At 55.7% G+C, this 15,682-nt stretch overlaps 1 protein-coding gene and 1 long non-coding RNA gene across 24 annotated transcripts in view, besides 3 other annotated features; one reads left to right on the top strand and one right to left on the bottom strand.

Moving 5' to 3' along the window:
- The window catches only part of SNED1 (sushi, nidogen and EGF like domains 1), a 97,919-nt gene extending 82,522 nt beyond the window's left edge, over positions 1–15,397 (bottom strand). For 15 of the 22 annotated variants that reach the window (XR_002959254.2, XR_002959256.2, XR_002959257.2 and 12 more), the window contains exon 1: positions 15,257–15,397. Coding sequence is in view for 14 of the 22 variants with exons in the window: in XM_011510931.3 (XP_011509233.1) it covers positions 15,257–15,389 (133 nt within the window). In the remaining 8 variants the exon portion in view is untranslated. Of the gene's footprint in view, positions 1–12,085; positions 12,182–13,996; positions 14,430–15,256 lie in introns of those variants that run through there. The other 7 variants (XR_002959260.2, XR_002959255.2, NM_001080437.3 and 4 more) reach the window with 2 other exon arrangements.
- On the top strand, positions 1,102–5,595 carry LOC107985787 (uncharacterized). 2 transcript variants are annotated; one of them, XR_001739175.3, is made up of 2 exons: positions 1,102–2,260; positions 2,623–5,595. It is a non-coding gene; the product is annotated as an uncharacterized LOC107985787 (long non-coding RNA). The 2 variants fall into 2 exon arrangements; XR_001739174.3 differs by having other exon boundaries at positions 1,971–2,350.
- Positions 1,710–2,313: an enhancer, noted in NCBI's record as "H3K4me1 hESC enhancer chr2:241950151-241950754 (GRCh37/hg19 assembly coordinates)". NCBI's record gives its function as "activates a minimal SCP1, AML or CMV promoter by ChIP-STARR-seq in naive H9 embryonic stem cells {active_cell/tissue: H9 hESC(naive)}" and the evidence as "EXISTENCE:reporter gene assay evidence [ECO:0000049][PMID:30033119]".
- Positions 2,314–2,919: an enhancer, noted in NCBI's record as "H3K27ac-H3K4me1 hESC enhancer chr2:241949545-241950150 (GRCh37/hg19 assembly coordinates)". NCBI's record gives its function as "activates a minimal SCP1, AML or CMV promoter by ChIP-STARR-seq in naive and primed H9 embryonic stem cells {active_cell/tissue: H9 hESC(naive and primed)}" and the evidence as "EXISTENCE:reporter gene assay evidence [ECO:0000049][PMID:30033119]".
- Positions 14,378–14,797: a silencer, noted in NCBI's record as "silent region_12525". NCBI's record gives its function as "represses an Ori minimal core promoter by ATAC-STARR-seq in GM12878 lymphoblastoid cells {active_cell/tissue: GM12878}" and the evidence as "EXISTENCE:reporter gene assay evidence [ECO:0000049][PMID:35858748]".
- Positions 15,398–15,682: the final 285 nt, after the last annotated feature.

Here is a 15,682-nt window from a genome sequence, read left to right as displayed (position 1 = left end):
CTGGCTAACATGGTGAAACCCTGTCTCTACTGAAAATACAAAAAATTAGCGGGCGTGGTGGCGGGCACCTGTAGTCCCAGCTACTCGGGAGGCTGAGGCAGGAGGATGGCGTGAACCCAGGAGGCGGAGCTTGCAGTGAGCTGAGATCACGTCACTGCACTCCAGCCTGGGCGAAAGAGCGAGACTCCATCTCAAAAACAACAACAAAAAAAAAAAAAAAAGAAAAAAAAAACACAGTACTGCCTCGTTTAATTGAAATTTGCTAAGAGAGTAATCTTAAGTGTTCTTGTCACACACGTGCACACACACGGTAACTGGGTGGTGATGGATGTATAGATTCATGCGATTCTGGTCGTCATTTCACAATGTGTAGGTATATTAAATCACACAATTTTGTCTGTCAATTTTGTCTCAATAAGGCTGGAAAAATTCAATTAAAACAACAACAATAGCAGACCCAAATGTGTACCACTGTAAAACAAATAGCCTGTGGTCTATTCATACAACGATACAGAGGTGATGATGAAGTAACAGCACCACCAGAGATGTGGATGAGCCACCCTAAAAACACCAGGGAGGGAAAAAGGCGAGTGTGAGAAGGCGCTTTCACAGGCCGGAGGGGCTGCCCTGGGGTGGCGATGCAGGGTGGGGCGGTGGCAGCGTCTGCTCTCGGCCTGGCAGTGGGCCCACCAGGGTTTGCGTTACGTTTGATCTTTTTTTGCACGTTTATGTTTTGTACCCTTTTTGGCATGTGTTTTGGAAAAAAGAGCTAAGGGTTAGAAGTGACAAGTGGTACCTCTGGGTTGGGGGAGAAGCATCTGGGGGCAGGAGGCCGCTGTGGCCGAGGTCCCTGGGGCTGGGCCACCTGCCTGGTGTGGGGGACCTCCCTGCTCTGCCCCTCGCCGCACCCCCCATGCTCTTCCTTAGCTGGCCCCACTCCCTGCTTGGCTCCTGAGCCGCTGCCCTGAGTTTTCTGTCGGCCTTTGAAGTGGGAGCCTAGCTTGCAGGTGTGCGGTGTGCAGAGGCCTCGGGCCCACCCGCCGCCTGCCCCGCTCCAGCTTTCCTCTCTCCCCACCCCAGAGAGCTGCTGCCCTCCCCGCTGGGGGCTGAGCCAGGGAGGAGGCAGAACAAGCCGGCCCTGTCCCCTGCCAGGACAGGGCAGCCAGGACAGGGCAGCGCCAGCACCGCAGTGCAGGGCAGAGGCCCGCGGGACTTCCTTTCTCCAGATGTGGACGTCCCAACGTCTGGTGGAAGGGGGCTAGTGGGCAAGGCCCAGGCCAGAGGGCCCAGGAGCTAGAAGCAGGGCAGGGAGCCATGTGGCAACCCCTCTCTCCCCAGCACTGGGGTCCCTCTCCTTCTTCAGGGCTGGGAAAACGCTACTTCCCAAAAAGTGACAATTCTATTATTGTTATTTGCCTACTTGCTATAGCACCTTGTAAAACATGTCATAGAGATGTGGAAAACAAGGGGAAAGGATTAGCCTGTCTCCCAGCCGACGCCCCTGTTCATGGCTAGGTGTGGACCTGAGCACTCGTAGAGGAACAGTGCGGGTTTAGTCCCTCGTCCTGACTTCGGGGGCGGGAATGCCAGCAGGCTGCCCAGCGCTGGCACCTCAGACACCTGCTGAGGGCCAGTGTTTGTCTGCTGGGGTCTGGGGCCTGAGGCCAGCCTGGCAGTCCTGCCCAGCGCCACTGGGACACTTGTAGAAATGTAACCACTCCATGTGCCAGGAGACCCAGGAGACCTGCCACCCCCAGGAAACCCAGGAGACCCAGGAGACCTGCCACCCCCAGGAGACCCAGGAGACCTGCAACCCCCAGGAGACCCAGGAGACCCAGGAGACCTGCCACCCCCAGGAGACCCAGGAGACCCAGGAGACCTGCCACCCCCAGGAGACCCAGGAGAACCAGGAGACCTGCCACCCCCAGGAGACCCAGGAGACCTGCCACCCCCAGGAGACCCAGGAGACCCAGGAGACCTGCCACCCCCAGGCAGGGAGGGAGGGCAGTGTGCTTGTTCTGGGTCTGCAGGGTAGAGATGCTGCGGCAGGCCCTGGCTGCATCCCCCAGAACTCCAGTCTCTCCCTGTGGATCCCATCGTCCAGGGCCTCCCCGTGGCCACCGTCTGGTCTCCTTTGGGGTCCCGGCTCTGCCTGCAGCCTGAAGCCCAGGCCCTGGATCAGTGCTGGCATCGCTCTCCTCCCAGCCAAGCACCAGCTGCTGAGAAAAACAAGATTGCCACCTGGATGTTACAGTCCCAGGTAGGTGACAAAGGTCCTGGGAGGGGCTCACACACAGGCCGCCTGGAAAAAGCTCTGCGTTGGACACAGCTGAGCACCTTAGGCACCCCGGTGAGTGCCCCACGCCCCGCCCTCACCCTCCTCTCTCAGGCTGTGGTCAAGGCCAGCCAGCCTCACGGTGGCCTTGCCATGGAGGGGATGCTCTGACCCCTCTGAGCAGGCTGAGATTCTTGGGCTGCTGGTCAGCTGCTAACTGGGGAGGCCCCAGGCCACATGGAACCTGGAGCTGCAGTGACTTGGGGACTTGGAGGAGGCTCCTCGCCCTCCTCCATTGGGGGCGGGGCTGGCCAGGGGCACTCAGGGCTCTCCTGCCTTTCCTGCAGGACGGGGCTGACCCTCTGCTGGCTCAGGAGGAAGCACAGAGACGTGCTCCAGTGGCATTTCCGACTTGGATGAAAGCAGGAAAGAGCTGAAGCGTCTGGGGAGCCTCCAGGAGGTGACCTCGGGCTGAAAGTGCCGATATGCAACAGCCTGCTCCCCCGGACCTGAGCCAAGGGGCTGCTCTGAGCAGGGCAGGGTGGGCCTGGAGGGGAGCCAGGGACCCAAGAGACTTCCGAGGGCCCCAGGAGCCAGGAAGCAGCACCCTGGCTCCGCAAACGTTAGATCACAAAGGGCGGCTCTGCGGTTCCCTGCTTTGACTCCTCTGCCAAGAGTGAAACAGCACAGCCTCGAGGTGTTTTAGAAGCTTGTTTTGAAAAATGCAGGCATGTCTTTTATTTCCTGGCAGCTTTCTGGGCAATTAGGATTCCTCCCACAGGCACAGCGGGGGCTGGCGTCCTGGGCCGGGGGATGGGCAGGGCCTCCGGGGCTGAAGGGGATGGTCTCCTGCTGAGCGGCCTCACGCCAGCCCTGAAGGGAAGGAGGCTGGCCCCTGGCCCAGCCACCGACGGCAATACTGGGCTAGGCCTCCGGGGAAACACACATGGGACGCCTCCGGGGAAACACACATGGGACAGAAGCAGTCACCCAAGGGGTTGTTCCAGTGGGAGGGAAGAGAGCTACCACCAGGGAGAGCCAGGGTGACTTCCTGGAGGAGGGGACATCTGAGCTGCATTCAGCGCCCCCGGACAGGGGAGGGGTAAGGGAGGGGCTCCCAGGAGAGTGTTGATGCCATGTCCTCTCTCTCCTGCAGACTGAGGTGCTGGGTCTCCCTGTGGCTTCCCTGTCCCCATGGGGCCATGCCCCCAGCCCCCGTGCCCTTTCTCATGCCCTGTCCCTCTTGCTGCCCTCACAGCCTCTCCCTCTCCACCAGCCCCTCTGCTTCCTTGTGTTGACAGCAGCTCCTGCCGCCTGCTCCTTGCCTCACTTGCTTCCCACTTTGGCCAGGTGCTCCACCAGTCCCTATGGTCAGCAGGGCCACAGCCCAATCCCCTAGAGGCCCCAGGGTGTGCCTGGCCTGGAGGCAGTGGCCCCACACTGTCTGGGTGTCCACACCTGCCCTTTCCATCCATCTCCAGCCTGGGCTGCTGCCTCCTGGGCTCTTGAGATCTTGCTGCCTTCAGCCTGTCCACACCTCAGAGGGAGGGGCCTCCTCACAGTCACCCTGCATCTCTGCAGTGGCCACTGGGCCACTGTCACCTCCAGCCACCACCATCAGAGATGCAATCTTGAGATGCAAACCTGGTCTGTCCCCCACTCCCCACATACCTGAGAGTCTTACTCATGGGCACCCCCGTCACTCCTTCAGGACCCAAGCTCCATCCCCATGTCCTGCCCCCAGTGAGCCTCCAAGGCTGCCTTGCCTGCTCCACTTTGCCGCCTCCAACCCACCCCAGAGCTGATGGCAGGAAATGTTTGCTGAAAGATGGGTTTGAGGGCCCAAGAGGCCGTGCCTGACCCTTGACAAGCTCCTGGACAAGCTCAGAGGACAGTGTGATCCTGGGCTGCCCTCCTGTGTGGAGGCATTGGGGTCAGGGGCCTGGGCTGGCCACAGTCCTGCTCCCACTTGGTGCTCCCTGACTGGCCCGCAGAGCCCAGAGGCGACTTCAGCATGTGCTGAGCCCCGGGCACCACGGGAGCAGGGCAGGGGCTGCACACAGTGGTGTCTAATAACTGACACCTGCTGGCTGAATGAATGACTTGCCCTGCTTTGCAAAGAACAAGAGAATGGATGCCAAGGCACCTAGGTGTTGAGGCTGGTCCCCGTAGATGATGTATGGGGTGTCCCACCTGCCTGGTCGCAGACAGACGGCAGTGTGACCAGGCCCCGACCCTTCCAGCCTGTCTTGCCCTTGGATCTGCCCAGAGCTTCCACCCCCACCACCAGTCAGAACACCAGGACACCCTGTCTGGCCTAGAAGCCCATGGACAGAAGGAGTGCAAGGAGTGCTATCAGGTGGGACCCTGTGGGGGCAGCTTGTCCTGGCCACCCCTTCGTGGTGAATAGGAGGCAGGAGGAGACTGGAGCCTGCAGAGTAGGTTAGTTAGGAGTGCCCCGGGTCACCACGAGCAGCCCTCGGAGGGAGGGGCTGTGCTTCCCAGGTGGGGCTCTGAGCCAGCCCCAGGAGCCCCTGGTCACGGCACTGACTCTGTTCCCCCACTTGGGATCTGCCCTGGGTGGTCTGCATTCCTGCCACGCCCCCAGGTGGCCCTGGAGCAGCACAGAAGCCTGCTTTGGAGACACACGTGGTCCGGACCTGTCAGAGCTGGGGAGCTGCCACCTCCGGGCTGTGCTCAGTGAGTCAGGTGGTACGGCCGCCTTCACCCACGGCAGGGTGTAACTGCGAATGCCCTTCTGGGCAGTGGCAGACAGAAGGAAGGTGCCCTGAAAAGCTCCCTGCCTTGGATCCAGTGAGCCCACGTGGGGCAGTTTATTGCAAGGGAGGGAAAGAGAGGGAGGCCTGCACGAAGGCCCGTGTAGGACAGACACACATCGATTCAGGAGACTGAAACACCACAGAGCCAATAACTAGCGGCCGGTTAAACCAATCACAGTGTAGCCATAGAATGGAATCTTGTATTGTCATGAAAAAGCATGTTTTCACAGAAAAGTTAGGGCATGGGTAAATGCTCGTGGCGTAACATTGAAAGAAATAGGCAACACAGAGACCCATATGAGATGGTAACCCGAAGTCTGTTTTGTAAAACCCTACCCTTGAAAACAGATAAGGAAGAACTTCACCAAAATGTTAAAAGCACTTATTTTTGGGTGATGGAATTACGGATATATCATCCCAATGATCACAAGATGAACAATAGTTATTTACTGAGCGGCTTCTAGGAGTAGCACTGTTCCGGAAGCCTGACAGCACAGCGAACAAAACAGACAAAAATAAATACATTTAATACTAAAAAAAGACGCATTGCTGCTCTTCCGTCTCCTTAAATCAGAGCAAGGGTGCAATCAAGGTTTTGGACTGAAGGAACGAACAAATGAAGTAGTGAGTAAGTCAACAGTGAATGAATGCACCAAGTTTCTGTGGGGAGCTGCCTGGGAGAACGCGGTTTGGCCGGCTGGCCACTTCTCTGACAAGAAGCTCTAGCTTCACCTTATCACCAAAAACTCAGGAGGATATGAGAATAAGCTGTAGACCTCATGACCCTCTGCACCCTAAACATTTTAGTATTTCCCATCAACAAGGATATTCTCTCATGTAAGCATATACAGTCACCCACAGCAGGAAATTTAACACTGATGCAAAGCTATCAATACTGTTTTCCCCCTCATTTATATGTTTCATCATTTATTTACTTACATCAGTGTGAAGCCACGGATTTCTCCTTTAATAGATTAGAATCTGTACCTATCATTATTTGTTTTAATGCTCCAATTGTCCCAAACACTGCCAGTGGGAGCCCCTTCTGGAGGGCCTCTGTGTCCTTTTGATCCATCTCCATCCTTCTCCTAGTGTTTCCTTACTTTATGGCACAACAAGATGTTCCAGGCTCATCTTGCACTTCTCTTGCCACGACCCTAGGATCTCCAAGGCACCCTGGTTCTTTTTAGTGGAGACTAGTGTTTAGCAGCCAAGATCTGAGCATGGAAGTGCCCTCTGCTATTGAGGTATTATTGCTTCCATTTCTCTCAGTGGACAGAGCTAGGAACTGTGGATGTAGGTAGACACACAGATGTATATACCCATGTCTACACCCATCTGTCATAATACACACACGGAAATATGTGCTATGAAGTTATACTGATATGCTGAAGTCAAATCTAACACAAAGCCACAGGTTTCATTTGATGTTTCCTCCTTTCCATATCTGCAACTCGTATCTTCAAGAGAAGCGCATACCATTCTCAATCTATTTACTCACTGGCTCAACAGCCTCAACATTTCCAACCCATACCACTGTGGAAAACAATGCTACACTTGGAGTTTCATCATTGTTCACCATTCTTTTCACTTTTGTTCACAGATACATAGTCAAAGTATTGCATTAAAAAGTATATGCTGAAATTAGTAGACAGTAATTTTAAAGCAATTATTATAAAGATGAAAAATATGCTAGGATAGAAAAGGAAATGTCAACATAATGAGGGAAGAAATGAAAAATGCAGAAAAGATCCAAATACAACTTATAGGAGTAAAAAGTGAAATAGATGAAACAAACATACTCTGAATGGGATGAATAGGTTAGACCGTGTAGAAAAAAAAATCAGTGAATTTGAAAACATAACAATAGAAATATTCAAAATGAAGGACAGGCAAAAAAGACTTTAAAATAACAAAGCCTCATTCTCATTCTCAATGAGCTCTAGGACAATAGTAAGAAGTTTAATGTACATACAATTTGAGTCTTCAAAAGAGAGGAGAGAAAGGACAGAAAAAATATGTGAAGATGGCTGAGATTTTTTTCAAATTTCATGGAAACTATACGCTCACAAATCATGAGTCTTAATGAAACCAAGCAGAAGAAATATTTTTAAAGCCCTACAACAATACACCTAATAACCAAATTGCTGAAAAGCAGTGATAAAAAGAATATCTTAAAAGGAATCAGAGAAAAAAGATGCATATGCGGAGGGACAAAGATGGGAATGACAGCAGACTTCTCATTACAAACTATGCCAATCAGAAGACAACAGAGCAGCATCTTCAAAAAATTTAAAACACAAACAAAATCCAAAGTCAGTTTGGAATTCTACACCCACCCAGCAGAGCTATCTTTCAAAAAATGAAGATAAAGAGATTTTCAGATTTTAAAAAAACAGTGATAATTTATGCCAGCAGGTCTACACTATAAGAAATATTAGAGGAAGTCCTTCAAGCAGAAGGAAAATGATATAAAAATGGAAATCTGGGCCAGGCATGGTGGCTAAGGTCTGTAATCCTAGCACTTTGGGAGGCTGAGGCAGGCAGGTCACTTGAGGCCAGGAATTCCAGATCAGCCTAACCAACATGGTGAAACCTCATCTCTACTAAAAATACAAAAATTAGCTGGGGGTGATGGTGGGCACCTGTAGTCCCAGGTACTCAGGAGGCTGAGGCAGGAGAATCATTTGAACCCGGGAGGCAGAGGTTGCAGTGAGCTGAGATCATGCCACTGCACTGTAGCCTGGATGACAGAGTAAGTAAGAATCCATCTCAAAACAAAAACAAAAACAAAAACAGAAACTAAACTAAACTAAAATTTAAAAAATAAAAATTTTTTAAAAAAAGAAATCTGGACCTACACAAAGAAATGAAGAAGACTGGAAATAGTAAATATGTGGGTAAATATAAAAGACTTTCTAATTTTAATCTCTTTAAATGATAATTGACTGTTTTAAAGAAAAAAAACATTGGCCAGGCATGGTGGCCTACATCTGTAATCCCAGCACTTTGTGAGGCTGAGGTGGGTGGATCACGAGATCAGGAGTTCAAGACCAGCCTGGCCAAGATGGTGAAACCCCGTCTCTACTAAAAATAAAAAAAACTAGCTAGGTGTGGTCGTGGGCGCCTATAATCCCAGCTATTCAGGGGGCTGAGGCACAGAATTGCTTGAACCTGGGAGGCAGAGGTTGCAGTGAGCCGAGATCACGCCACTGCACTCCAACCTGGCGACAGAGTGAGACTCCATCTCAAAAAAACAAACAAACAAAAAGTTAACAGTGCATTATTGGGTTTATAACATGTGTAAAGTAATATATATGACAACAATAGCATGAGGGCCAGAAGGAAAATGGATGTATGCTGTTATAAGATTATTATATCATACTTGAAAGAGTATAATATTATTTGAAGGTAAACTATGTTAAAAATGTGTTTTAAATCTAGAATAATCACAAAAAAATAAAATCAGAGGTGTAGGTAATAAGCCAATAGTATAGATAATATGAAATTATTTTTAAAAATCCAAAAGAAGAAACTATAGAGAACAGATGTAACAAATAGGAAGATGATAGGTTAAAATTCAACCATATTGATAATTACATTAAATGTAAATGGTCTAAAACACTCTAATTAAAAGGAAGAGATTTGTCAGGCTGGATTAAAAAAAATCAGTACTACACTTCTTTTTTTTAGCATTTACAAGAAAGACAATCAAGGCCACAGTCATTAAGGTGTGGTAAGGGTTTTGCTGAAGATTTCACAGGAAGCCAGAACAAGAAGCCACAACAAATGCTCAGACTGCAGTTTTATCAGTGTTGTGCCCACTACCTATATACATCTCCTTTCTTCATGGCTCCCCTGGTGGGATGTGGGGATCATTTTGTGCCTCAAGCAGAGGCCAGCCTCACCCCCAGGCTCATCCCCACTCCAGGATCTTCCCCTCCATACATGCATCAGCTTCTCTCCTTCCTCACATAGGACAGCCTGGCCCTGTCCAGCCCAGGGGCTTCCAGCCCTATTCCAGCTCACTCAGCCAAGAAAGGGCTCATCAGAAACCAGAGATGTTAGAAGGCAGAGGGCAGTATAAATGATAACCAACATTTTTTTGGTCACCTTTACAAATTGCTGCTCCTGTGTGCAGCCTTATGGCTTCTCGTGGCCCATCACACACAGAAGTGTCACAGATAACACTTCATGTCAGTATCACACAAACTGACCTGTCTTCCCTGTGAGTCTCTTCTCTAAGCAGGTCACCTGCAGAGGTGGGGCAGTGCAGACAGAGACTTTCCTTATGGGGCCCAGCATGCAGCCAGGACCCCCTACCACACTACCATGTTCCAACAGCTGTGCCTGTGCCATGGGTCAGGCCAGTCCTGGGAGGGAGTCGGCTGTGGGCTGAGGCTGAAGTGTGCAGGTCCTGCATCTCTGTGTGGAAAAGCTGACTCCCAGGCTAAGGCTCACCCTGTCAGGGAAGGTGGGACTGCTTCTGCTTTGGGGAACACACGGTGCAGAAATGTGCTGGTGGCCAAGACCATGAGCCCACCATGTGGATGTGGCACAGGAGGACTTACTGCTCAGGGTGCAGGCATCTTGCTGCATGCATCCTCTGGCCTCAGCAGGGGTGGAAGAGAGAGTCCTTCACCAGGGCACCACCACCACTGCAGCCCCAGGCTGTCGTCTGAGGCCTATTCTGAGCCCAACACCAGAATGGTGGCATGAGGATGGATGTGGTCCCTGCCTTCATGGGGTGCACATCCCAACACCTCCCAAACAAGAAAACTAAGGAGCAACCCAGCTGAGGTCAGAACCAACAAGCTGCAGTGAGCACAGAGGGTGGGGCTGGGGGAGTGCCTGAGCGGGGGGCCCGGGGGAGGGCGGAGGGGGGCAGGGAAGCGTAGCGGGGATTCTGGCGAGGAGAGACAGGATCCCACTGGTGTTTTGTATGGCTCCCTTGGTCACTCTGCACAGAGGAGGGCAGGCTGGAGGGAAAGGCCAAGAGCTGGAGGTCAGCAAGGGGGTGCTGCAGGTGTCCAGGCAAGTGGGGATGGACAGCTGGGAAGTGGTCCAAGTAGAGAGGCAGGCGGAGCTGCTGCTGACGTGGAGGGTGAGGGAGAGGAGGGAGGCATTGGGGAGGCTCTCAGGGGTTTATTCATGGAGATGGGTGGGCGCCAGGGAGGAAGCAGGACTTCTGTTTGGGTCCCACTGAGTTTGGGGTGGCACAGTAAGAGGCAGCTGGACGCAGGAGTCTGAAGGCCCCTGAATCTGCATTCTGAGCCTCGGTTTCCTCATCTGCACTGGGCATGACGTCCTGCTCCATCCTCTCAGGGGCTGCCTGTGAGGTCCAGGCAGATCACAGCTGTCCTGGGCTCATGGCCTTGACCTGGAGTCATCAGGCTCTCTCACTCCAGCATCCTCCTCGACTCCAGCCCCATTCCACTTCCCCAGGATCCCCTTCCATCTGCTTCCGTCACACCCAGGCAGCAGCAAGAAGGGCATGCTGATGAGGGGCAGGACCACCTTGGCCAAGCCCATAGCAGGGGGTGGGCCAGCCCGGGAACCTCAGTGAATAGGGCAGCCAAGGGGAAGCCCAGGACCCTCCTCCCAGCCAAGGGGCTCCTGCATTTGCTGGGGTGTTCCATGAGCTCAGAAGAGAGCAGAGATGGCAGTGATTTCTCCCCACATGTCTGCTCCCAGATCCACTCATGCGCAGGCCTCGGTCCCACTGAGACAGTCCCTGTGGGTCAGGGTGGATTTTCCAGATGGCTTGGAGCTGGCGACCACACAACCGTGACAGTGATGGGGTGTGTCACAGGTATGACCTGATGGGGGAGCTTCACCACACAGATGGGGAGACAGAGGCTCAGGGAGGAAATGACCAGGCAAAGGTCACAGGCTGCATGTGAACTCCCACACCAGAGCAGCTGCCCTGGGCTCCGTGTTCTGGGAGGGGTAGGGCCGGGACTGTGCCTGGATGGTAATGTTGTGCAGAGCCAGAGCCAGCAGACTTGCGGTGTGGCACGAAGCCTCAGGGCACAGAGTGGGGGTTTAGCCAGCACCAGCGAGGGTCAGTCTGACTGTCCACATTCCTCCTTCTTGCCTGCGGGCTCTGCAGGGCACCACCCACTCTTGACCCTCAAATCCTCCCTGCCTCTGCTCAGGGCTCTGTCGGGGGTCCTGATGCCAAAGAAACTGAGATCCTCCCATGGCCCAGAGACCATGCTGTGGATGGGGGCAGTGCTTGGAGCCAGGAGCTTCAGTGTAGGGGGCACCAGGAAGATTTCGTCTCTCATTCCCTGCACCTGCCCCTAGGAAACCACTCCACCTGCATAAGCCCCACAGACCGCGGCAAGCTCCGTCTTAATGCAGACACTGGCAGTTCCTGCATGGCAGGATAGCGGCAGCATGCCACACTCCTCAGCACGCCACACTCCTCGGCGCGCCACGCTCCTCGGCTGCATTATCTTTGTCTGTGTGTAGAACCTTAGCAATAAAATGCACTTTCAACACTTTTCAGAGCCTTACGACTTACCACACACATACAGCTACTATGACATGAGAAAGAAGCAAAACAATGGGTCCCTTCTGGAAAGGGGGCCACTCCATGTGTGGCAGAGCTGTCTTGCTAGGGCAGTAATCCATGTGCTATTTCTGATGAAGACAGAAGAAGCACCCATCTCATGCAAGAGCACTTCTAATTTCTACCTGTGACTTGCAGGCAGTGTCAGAGGGAGGCACATTCATTCATTCAGACAACAAGCCTACTCTTGGTCAAGCGACAGGCTGGGGGCGGAGGAGCGCAGAGGTCACTGCAGTGGGATGGGGGCTGGAGGGTCCTGGCTGGGCCTGACATGGGAGTCTGAGTCCAGGGCCAGCAGACACGAGGCCCCTATAGACTGGAGCTGGACAAGGGCCAGAGCCAGGGGCCTCAGAAGAGGGTCCGCTCGGCCTGGGTGGGCGTGGGAGGCCCCAGGCAGGTCCACTTCCTTCAGAACAAATGCCTCCCTTCTTTCCACCTGGCTTCAGCCCTAACCTGCTGCCAAGCACCCCTTTCTCTCTCCCTGCTTGACCACAGAGTCCGCACAGTTACTTCAGGCAAGGTGTCCTGGGCAACGCAGCCTCAAGCCTCCTGCTGAGCAAACAGAAAGGTGAAGTGCACTGCAGGCACTGTGTCCACATCGGCAAATGGTTTTCAAATAATATCTTTGTTTCAGGAAAAAGCTCCGATGGAGATAAATGTTTTGTTAGCAGCCAGAAGGTTCATTTCTGACGAAACCCTAGTTCTCCTAGCAGATCTTCCCACGTTAGAGCTGTTTCCCCTAGTTGCTCTGGCAAGGGCAGATGTTTTTGGTGAGGCTGTTAAGTGGGTTAACCATTTTAATAATATTTTCACCTGTGACTGTGAGTGGGAAAGCTGAGCCTGGCCCAAATGCTTAAGGAGCCTCTTGAGTTCTGTTCGGATGGTGCCAATGTGAGTGTCCCATACCTCAAGTGGACAGGCCTCCTCCAGCTCGGGCCAACGCTGAGCACCATTCTGTCCTACCCACTTCGTACTTCCAGGAGTCAGTCCCGTTCCTCTGTCCAAGTCCCGGTCCAGAGGGACTTTCAGGGGGTAGCACCGACAGCATGGCTGCCCCTCCCACCAGTCAGGTCACCCAGTGCTGCCACCGAGGTGGGGAGGCCTTCCTGAGCAGGTGTGGAAAACGCAGTGGGCGCTGTGGATGGTGTTGGCAGTTGTGGGGTGGGAGGCGCACTAGAGGGCATGTGGTGGAGGAGGCCCTGTGGATGGAGGTGGGGAGGGATGATGACAACCATGCAGAGGATGTGGATGGTGACGACGGGAAGCTGGGGACCATGGGGAAGGTGGTGGTGGAGGCAGTGCTGCTGGTGGTGGGGTTGAAGGAGGTGGTGTTGACGGAGGAGTTGGCAGTACAGGTGGTGTTACTCCGGGCAGCACAGATGGCAGAGGCGATGTGGCTGGCAGTGGGTTGAGGCTGGAGGTGGGCGAGGGTATGAGAGGGCTGATGGTGGAGGTGGCCGTGGTGACGGAGCTGGAGGGGACTCTACTTGAGGCTGGCCCAGCAGTTTTCTAGATATGATCTGGGGTGTTTCAGGGAACCACCAGGTACCAGTGCACCGTGGCCTACTCAGGGCGAGTGCTCCATGCAGTTACCAGGTGCATTTCATTCCCTGGGCTGCCATAAGGGCTTGGCCTGGGGTCACACTCTGGGAGCCATGGAGACAGAACCGGCACTCGGGCCTGTTCCTTCAGCTGAGCTGAGCCTGCTGTCATGAGTCCCTGGCCCCAGGAGTCCCACTGGGAGTCCTGTTTGGAGAGTCTGAGCCTGAGCGGCCAGCCCCCAGACTGCGGAGAGGACGGCAGGGAGGGGCAAGCCTGTTGCTAGCCCGCCTAGGAGGGTCAGCGAAGAAGCAGGCCCTGCCCTGAGCGCCTGGGCAAGGGGTCCAGCCTCCTGGCTCTGGGCCGCACTGGCGTCCACGGGGGGCGGGGCTGAAATGGCCCAAGGAGGGGCTGCAACCTTCGCAGGCCCGGCGCCCCACTTGGGAAACTGAGGCCCGGGAAGCCCGTGCCCACGGCCACATTGCCATGTGTGAAAACCAGGGCAGTACCAGGACCCCTGCTCTCCCCTGGGAATCAGGCGCCGGGAAGACGCGCTCGGCAGGTCTGGCAGGGGCCGGGGCGCCGCGCTCCACTCGCCCCCGCCTCGGTGCCCGGCGGCTGCCGCCCCCGCCCCGCCCGCGCGCCTCTCCCGCGGGCCGCTGTCCGGCCTTGGCCGCCGAGGAGGAAGCGCTGTCCTCATTCCACCTCGGGCCGCCCCGGTGCCAAGTGGCTGGCGGCGGCGGCGGGAGTCCGGGCCCGGCGGGCAGCGGCCGGGGCGCAGCTCCCTCCCCTCCCGGGCGCCCCGCGAGCCCGGGGGTTACTCACGTAGAGTCCGGAGTGCTCGGCACCGAAGAACGGGAAGGGCACCGAGAGCGGCCGCAGCCCCGAGCCGCCGTCGTCCTGCTTGGGGGTGACGGCGTCGCCGCGCTCGGCGCCGAACGGGTAGAAGTCGGCAAGGGCCACCGCGCCGCGCACCCCGCGCGCCCCAAGCCCCAGGGCCGCGGCCACCAGCAGCGCCCAGGCGACGCCGTGCCGCATCGCGGAGGTGTGCGGGCGGGACGGGGCGCTGGCGGAGCAGGGCGCTGGGGGACTAGGCTGCGCGCGGGGGTGGCCGGCAGGGCCAGGCGGGGTGCGGGGAGCGCGGGCGCGCCCGCTGGCCGCGCCGTCGGGGGCTCCGCGTCCCGCGCCCGTTCGGCCGGGCCGCGCTCTCGCCGCAGCTCCGCAGAGGAAAGCGCCGGGCGGGACCGCGTTCGGGGCCAGCCCCGCCCCTGGGGCCACGATTTAAATATCCAGCCCGGCGGTCACTCGGGGGGGCGGGGCCATGCAAATCGGGCGTCTCTTAAAGCGCCAGGCCCCGTGGGAGGGCGCGGGCGCGCGGGGAGCTCAGTCCCCTGGCGTGGGCACAGGCAAGGTGAGGGCTCTGCGGGCGCGCGCCCTGTGGTGGGGCCATGCTCCGCCCTGGGTCCCTACCCTGGTGGAGGCGCCTGGGCCCTCAGTGCCGTCCTGGGACAGACCTGTGTCCCTAAGGCCTGAGACGCTGGGCCCGCCCTGAAGGCGTGTCATCACGCGGGGGGCGGGAGGGGACCCTGGCCAGGCAGTGCCTGAATGAACCCGTTCCGTGCTGCCCCCTTCCCAGCCCTGAGCATGGGGACGCCAGGCTTCCAGCCACAGGGGCAGACTAACCCCGGAGCCCACTCCCTGCCTGGGTCTGTGTGAGGAAGAGCCCGGGCCGGAGACTAGGAGGCATGGAACAAAGTGTTTGCATCTGCGTGGCCGCATCAGGAGAAATTCCTGGGAGGCTCGGGACCTCGGGGCGACCCCTGGGTAAAGCAAACCCTCCGTGGGGAAGACTGACCCACTCAGGCCCTGGGGGCAAGTGCGTGCATGACACCGGCCTTGGCAGGTGGGGGCAGGACTCTGAGTCCCAGTATTTGAATTCAGGGTCCCCACCCTGTGGCCTGCCAGCCCTGCCCCCTGTCTCTTGGGCTGCTGGCCTGGGCTGCCTGTCTGTCCTTCCTCAGGGCCTCAGCCGGGACCACCTCTATGTCCCCAGGCCCATGGCAGGGTCTGATTCCTGGAACTCACCCGGCCCACCGTGGTCTCTTCTCTTAGATCCTGGTGTTGGGTGGTGTTGGCTGCGTGCCACACTGGGGCCCCCAAAGATAAGAGTGCACCCCTCGAAGACAAGCAGGAAAGGCCGGGCTGATGGTAACTGCATCTACCACTGAGGTGCTGGGTGGTTTTTTGTTTGTCTTTGCGTTTGTATCTTCTGAAATATCTCAAGTGAGCACGTGTTGTTTTTCAGTGAGAGCCAGGCACAGTCAATGTTATTTTTAAGAAGCAGCGGAGGGTTCTCTGCGTGTGACTGGGTGTTGCCGGTTCTCACAGATCCTGCACTTGGTGTTTTCACTCAGAGGTTCATGACCCTTTAGACTTGGTGTCAGGGCCGGGTGCAGAATTGTTAAGGAGGAGCTGACCCTGCACTGGCACCTCCTGAAAGCTTGCCCCTGG

This window comes from Homo sapiens, chromosome 2 (assembly GCF_000001405.40).
Source record: "Homo sapiens chromosome 2, GRCh38.p14 Primary Assembly".
Taxonomy (NCBI): Eukaryota; Metazoa; Chordata; class Mammalia; order Primates; family Hominidae; genus Homo; species Homo sapiens.
Note: the sequence above shows the minus strand (reverse complement) of the source record. Positions and strands in the feature narration are given on the sequence as shown.